Raw genomic sequence first — 12,218 nt, 5'->3', positions numbered from 1 at the left:
CACTGGGAAATGCAAAACTTGCTTCTCTGCATTTTTTTGTACTTTTGTCCAGCTTTTCTGATCTCACCAGAAGTGTTGTTCTAATTATGTAGTCTTACTGCCTCTTCTTTCATTATCACTCAGTTTTCATAAGGAAATGTTACAGGCTTCAGATATGTTTTTCTGACATGTTCCTTGAAATATGTTTATATAACTTGAGAGTATTCGTCATGATTACTTTGTTTCCAGCTTGTGTTGAGACCCTGAACAATTCATGTGTCCAATCTATACGTGCTGTTTACCGTATGTTCCTCAGTCTTGCCTTCAGGGCCTTGGACTTTGACAGACCTCAGGGTCTACCTCGGGGGATAAATGGGGTCATGCTATGTTATAGACAAGTGTGAAAAAACAATGCTATAAACAGGTTGCCCTTTGTTTGGGATTTTTGTTTTGTTTTGTTTTTTTGTGGATTTTTTTGAGTTGAGATCTCACTCTGTTGCCCAGGCTGAAGTGTAGTGGCACAGTCATGGCTCATTGCAGCCTCAAACTCCTGAGCTCAGGCAATCCTCCTGCCTCGGCCTTCCAAAGTGCTGGGATTACAAGTGGGAGCCATTGTGCCCCGAGCCCATGAAACTGGTTTTAGAAGCCATGCACAGTTTATCATTTGACTTTATTCATAACCATCACTCCTATATGGAACACAGTTCCTAGTGGCTCATTCCCTAAGAGCAGGGTTGAACCATGTATGGGTATACCAGTTCTTAAAAGCAAAATTGGCACTGTGATAAAGAAGGTCCTTCTTTGTGCCCCTCAAGATTACCAGCTTGACTTTTGCTACTTTTATGTAGATAATTTAATTTTGAACTTAAACATTTATTTTCATTCTATAGGAAATGACTCCAAAGTAGATGGTTTAGTAAACTTTGAGAAGTTAAGAATGATTTCCAAGGAAATCCGCCAAGTTGTTCGAATGACTTCTGCTAACATGGACCCAGCTATGATGTTTCGACAGAGGTAGGACATTGAAATATGTAAAAGTGTTAGAGTGGTATCAAGGGTGATGTAATAATTAAAATATTTATCATTTATTGATCATATTTATTCTACCATGTGTGCTGTACAAAGTGCTTTATATGTGTCCGTTTCATGTAATCATTTATCATTAATAACCATAACAGGTAGGTGATATTAGCCTTCGTTATACATATTAAGAAACTGAATGAAGCTCAGAGCAGTTTTTACATAATTTGCAAATATTTGTATGTGGATAGTTCTGTATTATTGTTCTTTAAAACATCAGCAGGCCGGGCGCAGTGGCTCACGCCTGTAATCCCAGCACTTTGGGAGGCCGAGGCAGGCGGATCACAAGGTCAGGAGATCGAGACCATCCTAGCTAACAAGGTGAAACCCTGTCTCTACTAAAAAAAAAAAAAAAAATCAGCAAACAAATACAATAAAATTGCTGATATTCATCTTGTTTTCATCTCGTTTCTAAGCTAATTTGTAAAGTATTAGTCTATGTCTTTTATTTTTACTGAATATTTTTAATGTTCTGTTTCTGTTTAATTCATACTTCATTCCTGTAAACCATTTTTCTTTTTCTCAAATTATACTGTGTTTCATTTGTATATAAGTTTTTATTACATACAAATGAACAGAATTTAGAAAGTGCAAATTTAATCATACTTTACTAAAAATGAAAAATTTTATTGTGTTCTGTATTAACCTGATATTTTAAGAATGCTTTTTAAGGTTCATTTTTAATGTAATAACAAAGGCTTCCTCAGCTTACATAAAATTGAAACAAAGTATGTTGTTAAGTATTCCTAGTAATTTTTTTTTTTTTTTGAGACGGAGTCTCGCTCTGTCGCCCAGGCTGGAGTGCAGAGGCGCAATCTCGGCTCACTGCAAGCTCCGCCTCCCGGGTTCACGCCATTCTCCTGCCTCAGCCTCCTGAGTAGCTGGAACAACAGGCGCCTGCCACTACGCCCGGCTAATTTTTTGTATTTTTAGTAGAGACAAGGTTTCACCGTGGTCTCGATCTCCTGACCTCGTGATCCGCCCGCCTCGGCCTCCCAAAGTGCTGGGATTATAGGCGTGAGCCACCGCGCCTGGCCTATTCCTAGTAATTTTTATAATTTTCAGGGTGTAAATAAGACATTGTGGTTTTAATTTTTGATCTGATTTCCTTTTGGGCCTATGTGTATAGCTTCAGTTCACAGGGACATTAAAAATGAAATCATGTACAGGGGCCGACACAATTTCTATGGCTTAAAAAAATATACTGTGCTAAGGAAACAAAAATACTTGGTATTAGGTTGGTGCAAAAGTATTTGTGATTTTTGCCATTACTTTTACACCAACACAATATTTTAAAAGCCAGAGTTGGAATTTTCGTAACCCAATAGAACCAGTGATACACTGGGTTTTTTTTTATTTGTTTTCTTTAAATTGTTGTTTAGGGATCTTTGTTTTTGAGACAGGGTCTCTCACTCTGGTTGCCCAGGCCGAAGTGCAGTGGTGGTGTCTTGGCTCACTGCAGCCTCAACCTCCCGGGTTCAGGTGATCCTCCCACCTCAGCCTCCCAAGTAACTGGGGCTACAGGTGCATGCCACCATGTCCAGCTAATTTTTTTTTTTTTTTTCCAGTAGAGATAGGGTTTCACCATGTTGCCCAGGCTGGTCTTGAACTCCTGGACTCAAGCAATTCACATGCCTCAGCCTGCCAAAGTGCTGGGATTACAGGCGTGAGCCACTGCACCCGGCCTAGGTGTCTTTGTTTTTGCAAGTAGTTGATCTGATGGTTTCTCTGGTTTAGAGATCCACAAAGCATGGAAGGAAGGGAGAGTGTGCCAGATCTCCTCTTTCCTGCACATCCCACTTCTGCACCTTGAAAATCACTACATGTAATGAATGATGTCATTGCTTAACAGTGTGGAAGCAGAAAATAGTAAGAACTAGGTACCAAAGCAAAGAAGGGTTTGTTTGGTTTTTTGTTGTATGTCCTTGTACAATGACCCTAACACTCTCTATTGGCTTATGTGGACCTCTATTTACTTACACATGTTAACATCCTGATTCCTGAAGACATGATGAATTTGTGACCCTGCCAGACCAGTTTATAATATACTAAGTACTAGCCATACTTCAGTAATGAGCAAAGGAGAAAAACTGATGAGGAAATTAATAAACATGGCTGTTTTCTTGGGAATGGCCTGGATTGAATACAATAAGGTATTGGGGGAAAATAAAAAACATCTTTTTTAAAGATTGGACTGAATTTTTCCTGAATCAGTTTTGTCAGCCAGTGCTAAAATGTAATACCTTTCTTTAAGCAAACAATGTCCATTTTGGTGGTGTATGAGTATCTAGTTTGGACAAAGTAACCCCTTTTAACAGTAATCAATTTGCAGACTTAAAAAATAGAATCTTTAGTCAATCAAACAGGAATGTAAAGATATATAGTATTATGAAGATTTTAATGATATGTTTTTTCTTACATTTTAAGTTGGATTTGCTGGTCAACATTTCTTACAAGACATCTTGTCAGAAATTTCTGCACTTAAAAATGAAATTTTATGTTTTTATGTCCCTTGTAATTTCATTCTGTCACTTAAATGAGTGGCCCAAAAATCTTGCCAGCAAGATGTTCAGAAATTCTATTCCTTTAAGGTCTTTTCCCTTAAAAACTTTGAATTCAAAATTTATATTATAGTAAGTAAATGTTTTTCCTTAAGCTTCTTATTTATATAAGCTTCCTGATGAATTAGGTATTTAAAATATAATTGGTCTAAAGCATATTTTTATAAAGTATTTTGGAGCTTTTTTGACCTTCAGTATATACTCATCTTACCCTCCTGCCTTCCATTTAAAGTCATTTTACTGTTAAGCTGTAATTTTTTCCTGATAAAATGTTTCTGTTCTTTTCTGTCTGCATAGTTTCTCTGACTCTCAACTGTTGTCTTTTTTCTGTGCTTTCCTATTCAAACACATGCTTCAATGTTTGTGGCTCTTGCTTACAGGAAGAAGAGGTGGCGGAGTCTGGGGTAAGTGTAGAGATGAACGCAACTGGAATGAAGGTTGTGCGACTCTTAACATATATTGCATCCTTTTCATTAATGCACGCACATAAAATAGCATGAATTCTATTAACCCTGTCAGCCTACATTCCTGACAAATGCCTTCTGCTAACAAGGTGAAAGTAGTGATAGAACTAGCTATTTTTCCTTTATTTTTCCACTATTGATGCCCTATAAGTCCTTTTTAGATTTTGATTTAGCTAGGTCAGTTAGATGATGATAATGATAGTGAATATTTGTTGTGTGCTTGCTATGTGCCATACATTGTTCTAAGCACTCTAAACGAATTATCTTACTTAATTCTACTACTACCCTATAAAGGAGATACTTTTCTTTCCATAGTATGGATGGGAAAGGTTGAGTTGCCTAAAGTTTTAGTTCATTAATGGTGGATCCAAAACTAGGTAGTCTAGTTCTAGAGTTCACACCACTTTCTTTTATTCAAATGCCACATTTTATAAAAGTAAATATATCATATAAATATATAAAAATGAATGAAAGATGTTTGTGAAGGTTGCATTTTCCATCAGTTTTCTAAAAAGAGGCAGCCCTTATCCAAGCTGTACTATAAAATTGAACTAGAAGATGATTTTATTTCCTCAGACCCACTAATGCCACTTACTTGTAGCATTGACTGAATTTTATTTGAAATTTTTACCAGCTTTAATTGAAGATTCCCTTATCTTTAAAGTTGTGATAGAATCAGCAACTGACACTATTTGTTATAGAGTTAGGTCTCTACTTCTACATAGCTAAGTGTCTATTTAGAATCATAGAATGTTAAAGATCTTATATATCATCTATCTAGTCCTTTCATTTTTAGATGAAGAAAGAGATGACTTTTGTGGATGAAGGGATTGCATAAGAAGAATTTTGTTATTTTAAGACTTGTAGTGAACCATGAAGTTAGAAGCTTTTATTACATGTAAGAAGAATTTTTTGTGAGCCACCTTCTTTATTCGAGTCTTGCCTCATTTGTGGTCTTATTTTCTGTTAATGCTTGGTGAACTTGACTTTCCTTCTATTTTCTTTCTCCCTTCTCTGTGTGTTTCCCATGTGTTTTCTTCTGGATCGCAAATTTATGTCTTGGTCTCTTTTGGCTCTTCTCACTGAAAATAGAAATTGATACCTGGCATTACTATTATAAAGAAGAATACTTGGACAATATCTTTTAGTGGGCATTGGGTGTGTTTGAATGACTTATGTTAACATGTTTCACGTTCATTCAGCTTTAGGGTTACACTGTATGATGCTTACAAACATTAGGTATATTTATTTTATATCAGCAATTTTCTGTTTTCAAAGTAGTTTAGAAAACATTTTATCGACGTTTATCACAGTGTTTTTATTTGTTAGAATTTTGTGTCTCCTAGATTTGTCAACACCTACTTTTTTATATTAACTAAGATAAAAATCATTAAATATTTGTGTTAAAATTTGCTCCTAAATAGCTGCAACTTGATTTTACTGCATTTCTTTGAATTCAAGACAACGTCAATTGTTGGACATATTGTTATTTTATCTACTACTAAGGAAAATCACTGCAGTATCCTGTTACCACTGAGAATTTCTACTTTATGCTTATTGAAGGAGCTCTTATGGACTTGGCTATGGATTTTTATCACAGTGTGAAAACTGAATTTTTAAAAATCAATATTTTTATTCACATAAAAAGGAAAATATAAGCAAAGTAAATTGGTTTAGGTTTTCCTAAAATTTCTTTATATTCAAAATATGAATCTTCTGAAACGTTTTCTTTTAGAGTCATTAGCTTCTGGATTTTGTTTTCCAGAACCCTCCTTCCCCATACAGTATTGCCCTCTGTGCCATCCAGTGTGTTGGTAATGCACCATTTCTTTGAAAAACCACAAAAGAACCAAAAGCTGCTGGTGCTGGGCTCTCAGGCTAGCTTTGGAAATAATTAGAATTAGTTTTCTCTTGTCACTTGCTTTGGGAATGTTCTTGAACTTGTCAGATTTACTACTTCCTTATAATCATTTGGTCCCTGGAGGTTAAAAGACTAATTCACTAATGGCTTTGGATTTTCTTTCAAGCCATTCTGCAAGTTTTGAGGTCTCTGCAGATGTAAATAATGTCTTGTCATAGTTTCTGCCTGGCCAATAGCAATTGAAAGTTGCCATTCAGTGTAAGATATACCCCTATTGGAAAGATCTTAAAATGTGAAAGAAAAAAATGCCATAACACTTTTTCAACTATATTTCACTTAATTTACAATGAAAGCATTAGGATTTTAGTGTCTATTTTAAAGTAGATATATGAGCACTGTGGTCTTTGTATTTAGAATACTTTTATATAAAAATGGAGCTTAATTTAGAAAATCCATAGATAACCTTATTATTTTGGAATGGCAAAATAAAATACCATCTAAATAAAAATTATATAAGAATTTTGTATTTGTTAGCCTTGTTAGAAAGGACAAACATCATTGCAGTTGCTGTTTTCCATTGGTTCTAGATGTGCAGTCGTTGTAGGATGTTTGCCAAAAAGAGTAGAGTCGGGTGAAGCTGTAGTTTGTTTGAATTGTGGTTATTTCCACCCAGCTTGCAATTCTGTCACATTCACAGGCATTACAAAAGTGATGTCCCAGATCCTCAGTTCTAGAACCCAAATATTGCCTAACCATTCCATATTTGAGGGAAGCATTGAGTTTTTACTGCATTCTGATGTCCGACTGTATTGAATTGCATATAAATGCTGTAAATTTTCAGCTAACGTGTTATTGGTAGTTCTGTTTGAGTTTTGGCCAAAATAATGGTTACTAGTAAAATTGGTTAACATGCTCACAGTGGGCCTGCTATAATGGTAGTGGCAATAGCATGTCCAAAGCAGAACAACAAGCAAAACTACTTTAGAACCCTCATTGCTAAAGAACCCTGGTTCAGAGATTCGGCTGAGGATGGACTTGTCGTGGTCCAGACTCTTGCCATATCTTCAAAGCGTGGGTGGCCTCCAGGACCAGAGGAATGCTTTTTCTTGTTACTGTTGTGCCATAGGTTGCATAGGCACAAACACAGGCCTGATGGAATATGCCACTCAGGGGGCCATTGTTATCCTATTCTTTTGAATTCTGTACTTTGCCAAATCCTGTTCTTAATTCAGAACGTCACCATATGTGCCAAATTACTTTGCATTAATGCTCTTCATCTTTTAACTCATTTACATCAGCATGCAATAGCATTAACAGAACAAAATCTTTTAATCTTCAATCTGCTATGCTTAGTTCTCATCTCTATAGCCCCTTATTGTGATTTTCATCTTCTTATAGGTCACTGAGTCAAGGAAGCACAAATTCAAACATGCTGGATGTTCAGGGAGGTGCTCACAAAAAAAGGGCACGCCGCAGCTCTCTGCTTAATGCCAAGAAGCTATATGAGGATGCCCAAATGGCAAGGAAGGTGAAGCAGTATCTTTCCAGTCTCGATGTAGAGACAGATGAGGAGAAGTTCCAGATGATGTCATTACAGTGGGAGCCTGCATATGGTACCTGTGAGTACAAGTTTTCATTTATGTGACGCTAAAGAGCACAACAAAATAAAAACTTATTTCTCTAGAATTATACCTAAGTCCCAAGAAAATTAACTTTCACTCACAAAAGATTGCTGGCATACCTTAAGCATCATGTGATCCAATTAATCACAGACTGAATCCCATCCATTCCTGATGGCTACACTATCCAAAAAATAGAGGGATAAGTAGATCTTTAAAAAGCTTTTTAATTCTTTTAAAAACTGGATCATTATAGAGGAGGCTTTCTGTTTGAGAACATTTTTATATTCATCCCTAAAGAGTAAACATAAGTGGAATTTTTACCTCTTTTTATTTCATGGATAATATTTACCAACTAGAAAATATAAGAAATTTGATTAAAACACCAGTGATAATAGGTAGCTTACAGGTGCCAGTAGTAAGGTAAAACAAAAAAAAATCAGACACATTCCAATATTAGTAATCTCTAGAAAATGTGATGGAAAAGATCGTGTTCTCAATATGGATTTTTTTTAATTAAATACAAGCAAGAGAATGCATATATATTTGGATCAAGGAAATTATGAATTCTAAGAGCAGAAATCAAAGATAATGAAATATATACTGTTATAACAAAATAATTGTACATCTTAAATTGTAGGTTAAGGCCAGGCGTGGTGGGTCACACCTAGAAACCTAGGCAGGAGGATCACTTGAGGCCAGCCTTGGCAACTCAAAGAGACCCCATCTCTACAAAAAAAAATTAAAATTATCCAAGTGGTAGTGCTAGCAACTTGGGAGGCTGAGGCAGGCAGGTCACTTGAGCCCAAGAGTTTGAAGCTGCAGTGAGCTAGGACCATGCCAGTGCTCTCCACCCTGGGCAACAAAGTGAGACTCAGTCTCTCAAAAATAAATACGCGCGCACACACAGACACACGCAGTGGGTTAAATTTACAAAGTGAGACTCAGTCTCTAAAAAATAAATACACACACACACACACACACACACAGAGAGTGAGTTAAATTTGCCCATAAAAATTGAAATAGAATTTTATTTCAAAGTTCCTAGTTGACAAGGGGTAGTAGTCATCATGGATTGACCCTAAGATTGATAAATGATATGGTATTTGCATAGTAATTTTTTAAAGTATGTCAAAAGAAAGAATAGAAAACAGGAAGTGGAAATAGAACCAAATACTGATTTTTAAAAATTCAGTTTTGACAATTTTTAAATAAGGGTAAGGAGCCTTTTAATAAGTGCTATAATCAAAACAATATCTTGAATGCTTCTGCATATAAGAAAAGATTTGGAGTATGATGGAAAGAATACCTACGAAAGGATAGAGGCAGAATTTGAGTTTCATTTATTACATTTGAGTAAGGTTTTCTTCATCTTTAGTCCCTGTTTTCTCAAATGTAAAACTTGGGCAAGGGTTGGGAGTACATTTTATTTCTGTGATTCTTTGTACGTCGAAGTTATTAAATTTGGAAAAAGACATTTTTAAAAGCTAACAGTTATTGAGAGCTTTCTACATTCTGGCTGCCACATGTTAAATGGTACATGTTAAAGGTAAAAGCTGAAAGAGTATATAGAACCTTTAACATTTATTCATGCTTTAAAGTTCAAAGCCATGTACATATTTATTAAAGCTTTCTGGCCCTGCTTTGAGTCATCATCAAAGTTATTTTTTCCCAGGTAATTTGATGTAGACTTAATCATCTTATGGTTATGAAACACAGTTTATATACACCCTCATGGCTTCCTCTTCTTACACCCACCCCAGACTTGTGTCTGTCTTTTCTCATAGCACTAAATGATGTCCCATGCTACATATTTAATAAAATGAGAAAATCTTTAGGCCTTTCTTTCTTAAACTGGATTTGAACATTTAGTTAAATGCATGTTCCTTTAATTTGGTTTGAGCATCTTTATAATGCATAATTGATTTTTAAATGTTTAAATAGTCACTATCCGAAGCCCAAACAATAGTTGATTTCTGAGCATTATAGAATTTGATTCTTCCCAATTAATTAGAATATATGTGGTTTTTGTCATTCATCTGTAAACTTATTTTTGAAGTAGTCTCAGGTTTTTTTCTTTGTACTGTAGCAATTATTAAAATAAGATGTCATTGATTAGCATTTACCAATCAATGAGAGAAGGATGAAAGTATTTCATGGCTCTAACCAAAGATGATAACCTCTTGGATTCAATTAGTTGGTGAGCCATTGCAATTTTCTCTTGGGGTCCCTGTATTTGAACTTTCTAAGACATTCTCTGATTCTTATCACCCCAAATATTGTCTAGTCTGTCTTAATAAAAGCATAATAGCTATTATAGCTGTGTTGAGACAGTTTAGACATCTATTTTTGCTTTTATCTTGATGTTTAAAACAAATACTTCATGAAGTACTGAGGCTGCACCTGCATTGAAACCACCCTGGATAACCTAAGGATTAAAAGTACTCCCTGATGGAAGAATGTCTTCCCCTTGGACTATAGTATTGGTTTTATATGAAGGAGGCAGCTTTTATAAGTAAGGGTTCTCAGTTTTTTATTCTCACATTCATATTCAGAAAACCTATGGATTTATAAAAGCACTGTCTCTGGTTTTCTTGTGTTACAGCTGTTGAGATAATTTCACTTATTTATTCAACAAATACCCATTAAGCATCTGTTTTCAGTCAGTTACTGGCACATAAGGATGTAATAACGAACAAAATGCATAGTCCTTACTCTCAAGTAGGTTAAAGCCTAATGAAAGGAACAGAGAAGATAAAGCCTAATGAGAGTATAGGACTGGTGAGAGGAAAGGTAAGCAAGTCAAGTCAAGGGAGCAGGCTGATGCTAAATCATGCAGGGTCATATAGGCCTTGTTTTAAGGATTTGGGTCTTCATTCTAAAAGCAGGGGCAAGTTAAGGTTTGTGCAGAAGGAGAAGGGAAATGATATGATCAAATACTCATTTTGGCAGAGTCACTCTTCTATTCTATGAAGAATGCCTTGAAGGCATGCTAGAATTGATACAGTGAGAAAAGTATTTCAGTAGTAAAGGTGAGAGAATGTTAACTTGACCCTCAGCAGAGTGATGATGGAGCTAATTAACATGGATTCAAGAATTATTTAGGGCTGGATGAGGTAGCTCACACCTGTAATCACACCACTTTGGGTAGCTGGGGCATGTGGATCACCTGAGGTCAAGAGTTCGAGACCAGCCTGGGCAACGTGGTGAAACTCCATCTCTACTAAAAATACAAAAATAGGCCAGGCGCAGTGGCTCACGCCTGTAATCCCAGCACTTTGGGAGGCTGAGGTGGGTGGATCACCTGAGGTCGGGAGTTCGAGACCAGACTGACCAACATGGAGAAACCCCTGTCTACTAAAAATACAGAATTAGCTGGGTATGGTGGTGCATGCCTGTAATCCCAGCTACTCGGGAGGCTGAGGCAGGAGAATCACTTGAACACTTGAACCTGGGAGCCAAGATTGCACCATTGCACTCCAGCCTGGGCAACAAAAGCAAAGCTCTGTCTTAAAAAAAACAAAAAAAAAAGCCAGGTTTTGTGGCAGGTGCCTGTAATCCCAGCTACTCAGGAGGCTGAGAGAGTAGACTCCATTGAACCTGGGAGGTGGAGGTTGCAGTAAGCCAAGATTGCACCATTGCACTTCAGCCCGGGCGACAGAGCGAAACTTCATCTCAAAAAATAAAAAATAAAAAGATTTATTTAGGAGATAAAATTAACAACTTATTCTACAATAGTTTTAGAGATAACATTTTTTATCTGACTCACCAAACAATAGAGATAACATCTTATAGTACTTAACTGAAATTCCTGCTAAGAAAAATTAATCTATTTTATCTTTTGTGCTAAAAATAGATGGTTTTAAAGTAACCATTTATTATTGCCAGTGGTGATAACCTTGCCTAAAAACGTGCAGTTACTTATTTCTTACTCTCTCCTGTTAGTGACCAAGAATTTAAGTGAGAAAAGATCAGCCAAATCATCTGAAATGTCTCCAGTGCCTATGAGGTCAGCTGGCCAAACAACTAAAGCCCACTTGCATCAACCCCACAGAGTAAGCCAGGTGCTTCAGGTGCCAGCTGTTAATTTGCACCCCATCAGGAAGAAGGGACAAACAAAAGACCCTGCACTGAGTGAGTATTCACCATTAATATTACATCCGTTTACCTGAAATTTCCAGGGGAGTTAGAGTGAAAAATAATTACAGATGTTCAGGAGATAAGCTGTTGTAGGTTGTGTAATATAATCGTCACTTTATGAATCAAAAATGTTGATTTCATTTTGCCTATAGATGTTTGCTGACAGCATACGTGTTTTAAATGCCAACATTGAATTTCCTATAATACTGAAATCTGTCGATCAATAGAAAATTTACAGCAATACATTTTGGGTACCAAGGGCTTACTGCATTCAGAGGTGTATTTAATGAAATATCCAATACAGATGCAACCTACAAAAACTGTGGAAATGAAGTTGCTTATTCCAAAAATGACTATACGTTGTTTTTTGTCTTTAAAGACCCCTTCTGAAAACGTGGTTGGGAAACAAGAGAATATAACTTTTATAAAATATAGACCACACTTTTTTTTTCTGTTAGGCCATATAGTCATTATTCATATTACTTTTATTTGTTGTTTTGACAGTATCACTATT

At 36.1% G+C, this 12,218-nt stretch overlaps 1 protein-coding gene across 5 annotated transcripts in view; it reads left to right on the top strand.

Moving 5' to 3' along the window:
- The window catches only part of RAPGEF6 (Rap guanine nucleotide exchange factor 6), a 211,309-nt gene that overhangs the window by 181,183 nt on the left and 17,908 nt on the right, over nt 1–12,218 (top strand). For 3 of the 5 annotated variants that reach the window (NM_001164388.2, NM_001164386.2, NM_001164387.2), the window contains 4 exons: nt 870–993; nt 4,001–4,024; nt 7,344–7,564; nt 11,510–11,698. In NM_001164388.2, coding sequence (NP_001157860.1) covers nt 870–993; nt 4,001–4,024; nt 7,344–7,564; nt 11,510–11,698 — 558 coding nt within the window. The remainder of the gene's footprint in view (nt 1–869; nt 994–4,000; nt 4,025–7,343; nt 7,565–11,509; nt 11,699–12,218) is intronic. The other 2 variants (NM_016340.6, NM_001164389.2) reach the window with 1 other exon arrangement.

The sequence above is a fragment of the Homo sapiens genome, chromosome 5 (assembly GCF_000001405.40).
Source record: "Homo sapiens chromosome 5, GRCh38.p14 Primary Assembly".
Taxonomy (NCBI): domain Eukaryota; kingdom Metazoa; phylum Chordata; class Mammalia; order Primates; family Hominidae; genus Homo; species Homo sapiens.
The sequence above is the reverse complement of the archived record's forward strand: the minus strand, read 5'-3'. Positions and strand labels throughout refer to the sequence as shown.